General features: G+C 36.9%; 1 annotated feature.

The window, feature by feature from the left end:
• Positions 4,072-4,832: an enhancer, noted in NCBI's record as "OCT4-NANOG-H3K27ac hESC enhancer chr7:86758408-86759168 (GRCh37/hg19 assembly coordinates)". NCBI's record gives its function as "activates a minimal SCP1, AML or CMV promoter by ChIP-STARR-seq in naive H9 embryonic stem cells {active_cell/tissue: H9 hESC(naive)}" and the evidence as "EXISTENCE:reporter gene assay evidence [ECO:0000049][PMID:30033119]".

Below are 15,281 nucleotides of genomic sequence, written 5' to 3' on the forward strand. Positions count from 1 at the left end.
AAGGTAACAGTATAATTTATATTCCTGTTCACATTTTTTCCTGGTTATCTAGAGTTACAAATACATTTGGACTTTTAAAAATATATCATTAAAATTTGTCTTTAAAATCTATGCTTCTCAAAAGATTTATATATGCTTCCTATTTCTACCTCTATACCTCCCATACACATTTTTCAAACTCCTAGAATCTGGCTTCTGCCCCATCACTATCATCACCAATGAGCTGTATGTCACTAAACTCAAATAATATCTTTCAGTCCTCAGATGTCTCAAAGCCTTCAACATTTGGACCAATTACACTCTCTTTCCTTGGATTTTTTGACTCCACATTCTCCTGTGATCCTCGACCTTTCTAACCACTCCATCTGTGTCTGTCTTCTTTGCAGGCTTATTCTCTTCTACCTGGCCATTAAATGTTGAAGTTCCCTCAATATCAGTCCTAGGCTGTCTCTTCATCTCACTCCTTACTTTGTTTCTAGGAAATTTCACATTCACACAGTGGTTTCAAACTGCCTATTACACCCATCCTTACACACAGATGGATTGCAAATTTATATCTTTGGCCTGGACAAATCATCTAAGCCCCAGACCCAGTTTTCCAATGTCTAATTGTGTCAGACACTGAGAAGCACTGCTTAGACCTCACGCCTTTCAACAAATGACCCATCATTCAGCTGCAAATAATGTGATGAGCTGACAGAGCTTGACTATTGGCTTCATCAGGGTCCATCTCAGGTTTCAAGACAGTCAAACTCCTCAGGAAGGCAGTGATGGTGGAGCAAGGTTCAAGGCCTAACCATGTCCACACAATCCAGGTCTCCTCTAACAGACAGTCTTTGCCCCACATTACCCACTGGACTTTGGGTAGTCTTTGCTCCAAACTACCCACTGGACAGAGACTTGTTGTCAGCTCTGCATCATCAACTGATGGTTCCCCTGCCCAATCCTCTTCCTTCCACTTTTCTTTCAGAAATGTTACTCCCCAATAAACCTTTAAATTTCTAACTCCATCTCAGCATCTGCTTTCTGGAAAACTCAATATTTTGTACTAGGAGTCATCCATGAAAACCTATATGGATAGACACGGGAATGGGTACAAAGAGTAAATATCTTGGTAGCACATTAACAACCACTGGAAAGCCCACTGTGGAAAAGGGACTACACAACTTAAGCAAAATGAATTGACTGATTGGTGGTAGCCTGACTCTCAGCAGCCACTCCAGTGCTGGCTAATAGCTCTAGCGACAAGTAGTCAGGGTAGTCAAGATGGAGGCTATGCATGGGTCCTACACCATAGATTCCCATGACTACCTCTGAATGTCTTACCTGCCAACAACAGAGAGCAAAGCTGAGTCCCTAATATGGTACTAGCCTTTGAGGGGACCAACTGGCTACTTGGCAGCAAGTTGAGTATATTGGACACCTTCCATCCAGAAAGGCAAGCAATTCTTTTTCATAAGAATAGATAGACACCTGTGAATTTGTTTTTCTGTCCTCAAAGACTCAACCAGAACCACTATCCCTGATCTATAGGCATAAAATCTCACACAACACAGCATCTGACCAGGAAACCCACTTTATAGCAAAGGAAGTACAGGGATGGGACAATAAGCATGAGATATACTGGCCATATCACATAACTTGCCACTCAGAAGCTGTCGGCCAGATAACATAATGAAATGGCCTTCTCAAGGCACAGCTGAAGCATCAGCTTGTAGGCAATGTCCTTTAGAATGAGGCACCATTTTTCTAGGACACAATATTGGTTTTGAGTCAGAGATCTTTACATAGTTCTGTGTCCCAAATAGAAAAGAATACAAGGGTTCAGAAACCAAGTGTGGAAAAAGAAATGGCCTCAATTTCCATTATTCCCAATGACCTACTGGGGAACTTTGAGGCTTTCCATCCTCTCAACCCTGGGCTCTGTAGGTAGCACACTCTTGCCAGGGGACACAACAAGGATCCTCTTGAACTAAAAGCCACAGACACCACCTGGGCTCTTGCACCTCTTTGTGTCTAGGGAGCAGCAGGCTTGAAGAAGAGTTACTTTAGCATCACAAGTAAATGACCATAATCTGCAGCAGATGTAGAGTTCTGTGACGCATTCACAGCAAGGAGGAATAAATGTGAAACTCGGGATCCACATAGGCGCGCCTTTTGGTTTCTCTCTTCTCCAATTATGACTATGAAGAGAGAAGTGCGGTAACCCTAGCCTGAGAGGAATATGATTACCAGCAGCTCTGACCCCTCAGGAATGAGAGGCTACCACCAGGTAGCTCACGAAGAGTAGCGGAAATGCTATCTGAGGTTGCAAAATTATTCTAATAGAGAAAAGTAGTAAAAGAATTGAGTCATCAAGTAACAGGCATACTAAATTCAAAAAACCTATACTAGATGGGTCAGTATTATATTTATGTTGCAAATAACAATTTACTTTCAGTAAAAGAGCAGCATCTTTCTCACTAAGTCTTGTTAATGTGAACTTATTTGGTTTTGTTAGATATTTTTGTATTTAATTTGTAAATTTACTTTGGGTTTGTGAATGTGTATCATCTACATACATAAGGAACTTCAACCTAGTTTTATGGTTATATTTATACAGTAACATTTGTCATCACTGGGAATTCATGAAAACTGGTTTCTTCAAAAGAGATTTATTTATAAATTACTGGGGTTTGAGAAAACACTATGCAACATTAGTACTTGAATGACTGGCCCAGTCTCCTTAAATTTTCTCTGAATCAGAATAGGGTCAGCTTGGAGCCTGAGCTAAAACAGCTCTTCAATAAAAATTACATGGCTCTGGGGTCATACATTGGAAGGCCAAAAAAAGAAAAATGCAGTGGACAAATCCTAGTCTAGCTTTTGCCCTGGTGAGATTTTCTGATCCTAGTCAAACAAAAATGATATTTGACAATTTGTTACCATAGAATGATTGCTACTCAGCATGGAAAGTTTAACTTTTTCAACATGAACAAAATTAGATCTGTTCTTGCAGCCATCTCACATTGACTTCTTTCATGTTCATGTTTAAGAGTTTCATCCAACTCATTTCTGACAGCAAACCTAAGTGTGTTCTCCCATGTGACTTGGAATGTGATTATTTCAAAAATGCAAATAGTACCATAATCATCAACAAGTTTTCAAATATTCTATTCAAATAGAGTATCAAATACTACCATCAAATACTCTTTTGCACTTAGGTTGTGGGAAACTGAAGCCTAAACAATTTAAGTATGGTCATAAAATGTCACTGAATAGCATGTCAGCAACACCAAGCTCAATATTTTGGCAATCTAAAAACAGTATAGATTATGACACTGAAGAAACTGGGTGGGGGTCTAAATAAAACAAGACAGTCACAGTGACTAGAACAGTTGTATTTTGATTCCGATATTTCTATAGAGAAAGGCTGAATAAAAAGAAACCACCTAGGTTTATCTTATCAATATGGAATCTGGAATTTAGCAAAACTCAGGGAGGTTGCTTAAATTAAGTAAATAAACACATTAATTTCCTACTTTTTCATCTAACTTGGTGAGAGAAAACCCAAGCCCCAAACTTCAATAGTAACTGACAGAGATCCTTGCTCAGAACAGTACTTTTAATATCAAGAGGAACAAATAAACTTTAGGATCTGCAGAATAGAAGCGACAGAGGCTGTCATCAGACCTAGCTCTTTTTCCAGAAAAAGAAAACAAAAGAGCTATTTCTGGCAAACTGGTGCTGAATTATTTTGCTAAAACAAACAAACTCGATTAATTAGTTGATTAATAAGTCAATTTAATTACATTAAGATAAAAAATGAAAAAGAAACAAAACTTTTAAAGGACACCTGTCAGGAAATCCTTTCTTTTATCTAATTTCTCATGTGTGTTCATAATATCCCTATGTTTCCTGCTGATACTTTCACCCCAAAATGGAGGCAGGAAGGAGATTGTGAATGTGTATGAATACCAGTGTGCCACTAATATTGATACACTTAATAGAGAGTTACATGGATGAGAAATCTGAAGAAAATGTGCTCACAACATGGCCACAATCTGGAGGGAGATGTCTAGGGAAGATTGCCTAGCTACTCATTTAGCTCCCCTCCGGATGGCATTAACCTTACTGAATTCCTCACAGCCTCAGCTCTCAGCCTGGAAAGCTCATAAACCTGTCTGTCAGTTCAGCAGGCAGTATCTCATTAGACCAGCTCACAAAGACTGACGTATAAACGCAAACTCAAGTACGCTAATTTGCAAAGGAATGCATTTACTGCTACTCAATCTCACAGCCTACACCTTCTTTACCTATAGGAGCACTATATGAAAAGTTAAATTACGATCAAAAGGTTTCTTGGTAACCATAACCTTGGAGTGAGTATTGTCATTTTTCTGCTGTCTCTGCACCAAGGTCTCTTGTCTCGAGATACATTCAACTTTTGCCCCTGTGATCTTTCTCTTTCTGAAATTTCAGGGCTAACCAAGCTCCCATACCTTCTGGCTGACACATTCTTTCTTTAGCTACTAAATACATTCAATCAGGTTACAGTTCAGTGTTACCCGCTGGGAAGCCATTGTTCCTATTTAGAGAAGATTTTCCTATTCAATGCTGTGATCCTTTTAAAACATTAATTCTCAACAGGCAATCTAAAGTCTTTCTGAGGAGGAAGGGAGCTCACCTTCACCCCCAAATATTCATAGCACATTGTAATCTTGAATTTTAAAAAATCCTCTTTCTTTAGCCTCCCTTACATGTCTCCGAAGTGTCATTTGGATAGAATTCTGTTTTAAGCAAAACTACATTTAAAAAGGGAAGAGAAATAATTGGGAAGTGTTAGTTAGTACTTAGAAGTGGGATACCAGTTTACTTTAGCCATAGTCAGTCCTGAGACCAATAGGTCAAAAGCTCAAAAGTGTACACAAGGTGAAAGTAAAGACAGGGAAACCAAGAAGAGTCAGAAACTAGAAAACAGAAGTCATGATCCATAAATAGCGAAACCCAGAACATAGAGTCAATCAGAAAACTAGTGCAGGCAGGAAGGGAAAGAGTCAGAGCAGGATTACAGCTGCCCCTCTGGACGGTTCTAGGGGCACTTTTCAGGTCACCATCTATGTGAATGGTGCCTGCTGGAGTTTTGCCTGCACACGCATAATGTTTACAGAGGCCCTGGAGAGAAGAATTAGATCAGAGGCCTAGATAGTCAGGAATAAATGAACTGAAGAAGAAGGGCAAAACAGGCAGGTCAGAAGATGTGAAGTCATTGCACTAAGAGGACTTTAAACATTCACTTTGTCTTAGGGAGCTTTACCATAGTTCTGCCAAAGTGGGAAAGAAATTCCCTGAGTACGATTGGTCTATGACAGCAAATTGAAGCAGGCTACATACACTGCTATAATGAGGAGAGGTTGGGTGAGGAAGATAGCAAATCCCAAAAGGAAGAGGTGTTTACTGTTAGGATTTCATTCCAAGGTTCACCCTTAATCTAGAGTGATGTTTCCAAACATATATTCTGATCCAGCCTGATATACTATTGAAAACAGCTTCTGTGGCCAAGAAATGTTTCAGCAATGAATACAATGTATTCCCCAGAGGGAATTTACAATTCCCAATCATTTACTATTGTTCATACATAAATGGCGAATGTAGTTTATTTGAATATGGGATACCTTTTTGGTAACATTAATATTCCATGGAATACAGTTTAGGAATAGGAACTTACTATCATGTGAGATAACTACTTAATTCTTCCTCATAGAGTTGATAGTACATTTAGGTTTACAAATATACTGTATTCATAACCAGACAAGATGAAAGAAAAGGAGATCGGGGAAATGCATCAGTAAGGAAATGGTTTGGACTGGTAACTGAGTTTCAGCTACAATGGCTTGATCCCATTAGGATCTCAATCTCTCTCTCTCTGTGTCTCTCTCTTTCTCCTGCACACACACACAGGCACACACTAAGGAATTCACTAAGCTTAATGCCATCATGAGGGGAGCTAAATAAATAGCTAGGCACTCTTGCCTAGTCATCTCCCTCCAGATTGTGGCCATATTGTGAGCACATGCATTCTGGAGGTATGCAGTTCAGGGATGCTATGTGATGCTACCTACAATGCTATGAGGAACTTAAACTTTGTCTTTCTTTCACCACTCATCTTGTGGCTGCCATCCTGTGATGGTGAATTTTATAATGTGTCAACTTGACTAGGCCATGGGGTTCCCAGATTAAACATTATTTCTGGGTGCCTCTGTGAAGGTGTTTTGGGGTGAGATTAGCATTTGAACCAGTGGACTTAGTAAAGTAGATTGCCCTCCCCAATGTGAGCAGGAATCATCTAGTCTATTATGGGTCTGAATAGAACTAAGATTTATGCCATCTGCTCTCCTGGTTCTCAGGCCTTTGGTCTCAGATTGTGTTATACCACTGGCTTTCCTGGATCTCTAGCTTGAGAACAGCAGATTGTGGGACTTCTCAGCTTCCATAATAGCATGAGTTAATTCCTCATTATAAATAATAAATAAATAAATAATTATCTCCTATTGATTCTCTTTCTCTGAAGAATCCTAATACACATCCTCAAAGTTACATGACAATTGCCAGGAAGAAAAGCAAGACAAGGAACAAAAACTTATCCTCCAAGCCGTCAGATAATCACTTATCATTTTTTTAAATTGCGTTAAAATCCACATAACTGAACTGTAGAAATCTTACATGTACAATTCAATGGGTATACTGTGTAACCAACACCCCGATTAAGAGATAAAATATTTTCACAATGGCAGCAAATTACTGTCTCTTTCCACTCAATTCCAATCTTTATCGACAGCCACTGTTCTATCTATTACTACAGTTTAGTTTTGCCTGTTCTTGACCTTCATATAAATGGATTCATGCAGGGTGTTCTTGTCTGCATCTGGATTCTTTCATTTAACATAATGATGTTGAAACTTATCCATGTGATAGCTTATGTCATTTGTTCTTTCTTTTATCTTTAAAATAAAAATTTCCTGGCAACCAAAGCGGAAATGGACAAATGGGATCACATCAAGTTAAAAAGCTTCTGCATATTGCAAAGGAAACAATCCAGAAGTGAAGAGACAGCCCACAGAATGAAAGAAAATATTTGCGAACTATCCATCTGACAAGGGATTAATAATCAGAATATAAAAGGAGCTCAAACAACTCTATAGGAAAAACTCTAATAATCTGATCAAAAAATGGACAAAATATTTGAATAGACATTTCTCAAAAGAAGACATACAAATGGCAAACAGGCATATGAAAAGGTGTGCCACATCGTCAATGCAAATGCAAATAAATCTACAATGAGATATCATATTATCTCAGTTAAAGTGGCTTATATCCAAAAGATAGTCAATAACAAATGCTGGTGAGAATGTGGAGAAAAGGAAACCCTGGTACACTGTTTGTGGGAATGTAAATTAGTATAACCACTATGGAGAACAGTTTGGAGGTTCCTCAAAAACTAAAAATAGAACTGCGGTGTGATCCAGCAATCCCACTGCTAGGTATATGCCCAAAAGAAAGGAAATCAGTATATGCAAGAGATATCTGCACTTTCATGTTTGTTGCAGCAGTATTCACAGTAGCCAAGATTTGGAAGTAACATACATGTCCATCAATAGATGACTAGATAAAGAAAATGTGGTACTTACACAAAATGCGGTACTATTCAGCCATAAAAAAGAATGAGATTCTGTCATTTGCAAAAACACAGATGGAACTGGAGGTTATTATGTTAAGTAAAATAAGTCAGGCACATGTTCTCACTTATTTGTGGGACCTAAAAATCAAAACAATTGAACTCATGGACATGAGAGTAGAAGGATGGTTACCAAAGGCTAGGGAAGGTAGTGAGAAGGAGGGGGGAAATGGGGGTGGTTAATGAGTACAAAAATATAGTTAGAAAAATTGAATAAGACCTAGTATTTGATAGCACAACAGGGGGACTATAGTCAATAATAACTGAATTGTACATTTTAAAGTGACTAAAAGAGTATATAATTGGATTGTTTATAACACAAAGGATAAATGTTTGAGGGGATAGATACCCAAATTTCCATGATGTGATTATTACACATTGCACGTCTGTACAAAACTATCTCATGTACCTCATAAATATATATACCCACTATGTACCTACAAAAATTAAAAATGAAAAAATTTTAATTTTCTAAGCAGTATTTCATTGCATGAATATACCACAATTTTTATGCATCCTTCTGTTGAAGACATTTGTGTTTTCAGCTTTGAGCTTCTATGGATAAAGCTACATAACTATTCTTATCCAAGTCTCTTTATGAAGATATATCTAAAGTTCTGTCCACTGAGAGGACCTCAGAATAGCCACATTCCAATAGTAACGGCCACACCTACTGTCCACTTCTTTATTGGCAAATACCATTCTCTACTAAAAGAAAACCAGGCCTTCTTGGAATAATGACTGACTTAATGTGTGGGGCAGAGAAAGTACAAAACAAGCCTGGAACAAGAGGTTTGTTTGTTTACTTATTTATTTTACAAACAACAATTTATAGAATTTTATTTCATAATCCACCAAAACCCATAACAAAATAACTAACTAAATAAATAAATAATTCTATAGAGAACGGGATATTTGCATAGTACCAAAAATTTCACCCATAAAAGTTATTATTTATAGTGAGAAAACAAAGTGAAGGAAACTGGCAGAGATATCTGCACTTCCATGTTTGTTGCAGCAGTATCATGAACATCACTAAAAACGGGTGTGATAGGCAGAATAATGCCCACCTCTGATGTCACATCCTAATTCCCAGAACTTGTAAAGATGTTACTTTATATGGCAAAAAGAACTTTGCAGATGTGATAAATTAAGGATTTTGAGATGAAGAGACTATCCTGGATTACCAGGGCTGGGTCAATGTAATCACAAGGATCCTTGAAAGTAGATAAGGAAGGCAGAAGGAGTCAGACAAGGAGATGTAATGGACACAGAGTTTGAAGTGATGTGATTGTTGATTTTGAAGACGGAAGGGGGCCGTGAGTCGAGGAATTCAGGTAGCTTATAGAAGCTAAAAAAAAAAAAAAAGGAAGGAAACAGATTCTGCCCTGGAGCCTCTAGAAAGGATACACCTATACTGATACTTTCATTTTAACCCTGTGAACTCGTTTCAGGTTTCTGATATCCAGAAGTGGAAAATAATAAGTTCGTGTTATTTAGTCCACTAAATTCGGGTTAACTTATTACAGTAGCAATAAGACATTTTTTAAAAGACAGCATAAATCAAAATCTTGTGCCACCTGATGGGATACAATGCATTAAATAAGGCATTTTTTTCTGTTATTTCTGACAAAGCCAGAGAACATAAATTTTGTCATGAGGACACATTAGACAATTTCAAATGGGGGGATATTTTACAAAATAACCGGTCTGTAATTTTTGTTAAGTGTCAAGTTCATAAAAGTCAAGGAGAGGCTCTTCCATATTGAAGGAAACTAAAGAGACATGACAACTAAATACAACACATGATTCTGACCTGGATTCTCTTTCTATAAAAGATATATTGGGACATCTGGTGAAATTTGAATGATATCTGAAGATCAGATGGTAGTAATGTGTTGATTACAGGTATCTAAGAAAATGTCACTGTAGGAAATAACACTTTATTCATGGATGATGGTGCATCATATCAGCAACATATTCTCAAATGGGCTTAGAAAAATGTTCATTATACTGTACTTGCAACTTTTCTATAAATTTGATATTGGTACTATTTGAATAAAAAATAAATCAAAACTGGGTGGTGGGGGGTACCAAACTCAAGTCTTCAGAACTCTGTGTATAAGTAAACTTTCAAGTGTGAATTAACTAGTTAGTCCAAGGGAAGGTAACTGGTAAATGACAAAAAGTAACATTAAATAACAGATGCAAACTTCTGGATCAGATTTATAAAGACTTTTCCCTGCAGGAGACAATTCTATTACATTATTTTGGGTCATTTTAAATTGTCCAGTTTTTCATTTCAAAGATTTCAAATGTTTCTGCCTTCAAAATTGAGTTTAAATCTAGTTTCTGATTCTATTTTCATTGTGTTGTTCAAAGCAGGCACACATAGAGATCTTTGCTCTCTTTGGGTTTAGGACATCCAAATTCAGTTCTCTAGTGCTGGGGGTGGGGGCAGATGCTAGGGGAATGAGAAATGGGAAGTTAGGGAGGATACTGTTTTTCTCCAATTTAACTCTGTGCGCTTGCCAGCATTCTTCCCTTTTTCCATCTTCTATCATTCTTCCCAGAAGAAAACCCCACATCAGAGATGGGTACCAAAATATTTGGGGAAAGGAAACAGTATTGTGGGAGAAAGAGAGAACCATTACATTTCCTTCACCTCAACCTAAGAAAGTATCACAATATGGCCCATATATCATTCTATACTTTTTTCACACATTGTAAAAAGTAATTCACATTATGACTTTTCCACTTGATTAAAGTGCCAGTGTTTCCACTGTATTCTCTGAATGCATTCTGCAAGATCTTCAATCTAATTTAGTATCATTCCATTTTTGTCAACAGCTCATCTAAGTGCTGACAGCTCAAATAAGCAGCATATGCTCTTCATTCATTCTGTTCTCAATTATTTGAGCAATTATTAGTTACAAATTTGCCATTTGTTAGAAGTTATTTTTATTCCTTTATTTAACTATCAAATCCCTAGTCTGTGGCTTACACTGAGATAGTGTAACTTCTTATAAGTACATTTTGCTCCAAGGAGCTCAATACCATCTCTCTCCCTCCCTCTTCCATAGTCCTCTACCTTGGCCTAACACTCACTAGCTCCTGTTGCATTCTATTGCATCTCTAACCAGTTGTGAAACTCCTTGCACTCTCAAACACTTTTCCAAAAGTGTTCTTTCAGTTAAAATAACATTATCAAAATCTATCTTCCCCCGATTATATCTTTAGCTTTGAAACTTGCTATAATGTGTTAATTATTATTTTCTCCAATTCACATAAAAAGAGGAATAAACTTTTCCCTGCTTCCCAATGCCCTTTAGTTGGCCTCATGCCATTTCCTCTTTTTCCCATCCATGCCTTAGGCCATCTGCTCCTTATACATGTATGGCCTGGCTCTCTAGGCCACATGGTCTATATGCTAACTAGATCTATATGATCCAGGCTAAATAAAGGCCTATGATTATGATACAATGTCATGACAACTCTGAAAATGCCCAAATTATATTAGTGTGGTATACCACTGCTACCTTGATTACTGGATTTCATTTTCCCTTTGTAAAGTATTCCAACAGTTATTTTATACATGCCTACCATTTACCCTGCCTGTACAGTTATTGCACTGTCTTCCATATTCTTCCATTTGTCCTTCTCTAGTTCTCGCCAGGTGATATAGACTGCCCTTGAAGTTGCCCGAAGTGACGCTATTTTTCAGTTTCTACCTATGAAGTTCCTTTTTTTGCTAATTCATTTTACTTTATTTTTCCAACCTTGTCCCCACCCCAAGTAGTCCCCAGGGTCTATAGTTGCCATCTTTATGTCCATGAGTACCCAACATTTAGCTCTCACTTATAAGTGAGAACGTACAGCATTTGGTTTTCTGTTCCTATGTAATTCACTTAGGGTAATGGCCTCCAGCTGCATCCATGTTGCTGCAAAGGACATGATTTCATTCTTTTTTTATGGCTGCATACTATTTCATAGTTTATATACTCCTTATTCTCTTTATCTGATCCACGAATAATGGGCACCCAGGTTGATTCCATGTCTTTACTATTATGAATAGTGCTGCAATATACAAATGAGTGGATGTGTCTTTTTCATAGAATAATTTATTTTCTTTTGGATATATATCCAGTAATGGGATTGCTGGGTTAAATATTAGTTCTGTTTTAAACTCTTGGAGAAATCTCCAAACTGCTTTCCACAGTGGCTGAACTAATTTACATTACCACCAACAGTGTATAAGTGTTCTGTTTTTTCCGCAGCCTTGCCAGCATCTGTTGTTTTTTGACTTTTTAATAACAGCCATTCTGGGATAGCTGGCAAGCCACATGCAGAAGAATAAAACTGGAGCTCTACCTTTCACCATACACTAAAATTAACTCAAGATGGATTAAAGATTTAAATGTAACACCTCAAACTATAAGAATCCTAAAAGAAAACCTAGGAAACAACATTCTGGACATTGGCCTTGGGAAAGAATTTATGACTAAGTCCCCAAAAACAATTGCAACAAAAACAAAAATTAACCAGTTAGACCTAACTAAAGAGCTTTACACAGCAAAAGAAATTATTAACAAAGTAAAAAGACAAGCTACAGAATGGGAAAAAATATCTGCAAATTATGCATCCAGCAAAGATCAACTATCCAGAATATATAAGGCCCTTAAACAATTCAACAAACAAAAACCAAATAATCCCATTAAGAACTGGGCAAAAGACATGAATAGGCACTTTTCAAAAGAAGGCATATAAGCAGCTAATGAACATGAAACAATGCTCAACATCATTAATCATCAAATAAATGCAACTCAAATGAGATACCATCTCACACTCATCAGAATGCCTATTTGAAATTTCTAGGAGAAAAATTGTGGGGCTTAAGAGATGTGGTCAGTGAACCCTTCATTACATTTGTAACCTACTAAATTCCAACACTGTCCTAACTTCAATTATTATTTTACCCTCAGGTTTAGATTATTCTCTCTAACTTTGGACACTATTATCTTTTGACTTCAACATCTATCCTAATTCATTTAATATTATGAACTCACATCTTAACCACCAAAACTATACTCAGCTTCTATCAACCAACACAGCCATATCATAAAAACTTCCTTCTAGAGTATACTTTCTCCGTTGCTAAAATCTCAAATTCTGAGTTTCAGCTCACTGCCCCTTCTCTTCAACTGTATTCCATCCTCATGCTCTGCTCCCCAAGGGACTTTATGTTCAAGTAGAACAATTAATTACAGATAAAAAGATCCCAAGTTTGAAACCAAATTATTTTTCTCTTGCCTAATGTTTTTATTAAACTGAGATCTTCAAGGGCAGAAACCATACATTTTATTATTCATCGTTATATCTACCCTTCATTCTTTGACAAATGATTAGCACATATAGAAACTCATAAATGTTTGATGAGTGAATGGTCACTCCTGAATTATTAAATATTGAACATTATTGTCAGGCTGGCAGATATCTTTCATAATGAGTAGAACCGGGAGAGGTGGAGGCAAAGGAGGGACAATAACCAAATTCTTTCTCAAAAATGTTCCCTCTTTGCCCTTCCTCCATGAGATTTATTTATATTATTAAACAAATCTAGAGCCATAGTACCTGAATATCGTATGTGTAAACTATTGCATGATCAGTATTAATCAAAGAAGGAATTCAGAGTAGAGAAAAGGATTAGTTGGCAGAAATAAAATGAGGTAAGTCAGTAAATTCAAGAGAAAGGATACATGTCAGTGAGATCCTGGGGAGAAAAAGACAAAACAATGTTGAAAGTAGAATAGTGTAGGATTTTTTTTTTTTGCAACCATGGTAATATATTACAAAGCTGGAAAAAATTGAGCAAAAAAACAAAATAAACTTGTATTATATTATAACACAATGTATATGATAAACATCTATGAACTTATGCTGATATAAATGATTGAATATATTAATAAATGGGAAAGAATAACTAAATCTCCCATGTAGAATAATTCCTAATAATTTATGTAGATACTCTACCCTAAAGATGGAGGGTGTAAAATAACTCTCTAATCCTTAAGTGTGGGCTAAGAATAGAGACTTCCTTCCAAAAAGTACACAAAATGAGTGCAAATGTGTAACTTTACAGTAGAGAACAAAATTTCCTTGGCAGGTGATCAAGATTCACATTAAATGTGGGAAGTCATGTGGATAGTGTGTACCTTTGATATAATGCAATGAAAATGGCAATTTAGCTCTGTGGTCTTCCTCCCAAAAACCTATAATCTAAGTCTAATCATAAGAAAAACATCAGACAAATTCCAGTCAAGGTGCATCCTACAAAATATCCGACCAGTACTCCTCAAAACAGTCAAGGTCACCAAAAACAAAGTCTAAAAGACTGTCACAGCCTAGAAGAGCTAAGTAGATGTGACAATTAAATGTAATATGTCATCCTGATGATATCCTAGAACAAAAAATGAACATTAGATGAAAACTAAAGAAATATGAATAAAGTATAGACTTCAGTTAATAATACTGTATCAATATTGGTTCATTAATTGCAACAAATATACCATACTAATGTAAGATGTTAATAATAAGGAATACCTCACATGGGGGATATAGGGACTCTTTGCACTATCTTCTCCATTTTTCTGTAACTCTAAAACTGTTCTGTAAATCAAGTCTGTTTTTTTAAAGACCTTTTTTGGTTCCATCTAAGGTTGATCTCTAAGTTTGTGCCCTTCCTTCCTCACTGCATACCAATTAAAAGTCCAAATTTCTTAGCTTAGTATCCAAGGACCTAGAATATTGCAAAATATTGTCCCTTGACAATTTGCAGCTCTCCTTATCAAGCAGTGAAGGCTTTTCTTTCAACTTTTGTATGTGGTCTTGGTCAACGACTTGCTAGTGTAAAACAACTAGTGGCTTGGAAAGTGCTTGAACATTGAGTTATGCATTCTTACACTCTTGGAACATTGCTGCTATATGAACAAGCCCAAGCTAGACAACTGAAATGATGACATGGAGGGAAACTAAGGCATACTAGCCATCAACCTGTCAGCTAGACATGTTAATGAGGTCATCCAATCCCAGTTGATCCTCTAGCTGACTCCAATGCATGGGTAAACCCAGGTAAAACAGCACAAGAACTGACCAACTGCTGAGAGCCCCAACTGCCCACCATTTGGTAATGAACTAATAATTGTTTTAATACACTAAAAGTTGAGGTGTTTTGTCACACAGCAAAGCAGCAAAGGTTAACTAATATACCTCTCCATTACTTTATCCCACCCAAGTCACATTTCCAATGTTGTTTTCCAGAATTCTCCTATGTCCCACCCAAACTGCATGATGTTTTTATTCCATAGAAATGCTTTGCACTTTCTGGAATATTTAGTTATAAAACTTCCCTCTGCCTGAAGTGCCTTTATTCTCAAATCTTTACTAAAGGAAATGTCACTCATCTTCCCCTTCTACAGAAAGTTATATATAAATATAAGGAAGAGGAGAAAACTTGGTTAACTAGATTTCCTCTTAGAAAGAGCATTGTATTCTTAAGAAATGCCGGGTG

Source organism: Homo sapiens, chromosome 7, assembly GCF_000001405.40.
Source record: "Homo sapiens chromosome 7, GRCh38.p14 Primary Assembly".
Lineage (NCBI taxonomy): Eukaryota > Metazoa > Chordata > Mammalia > Primates > Hominidae > Homo > Homo sapiens.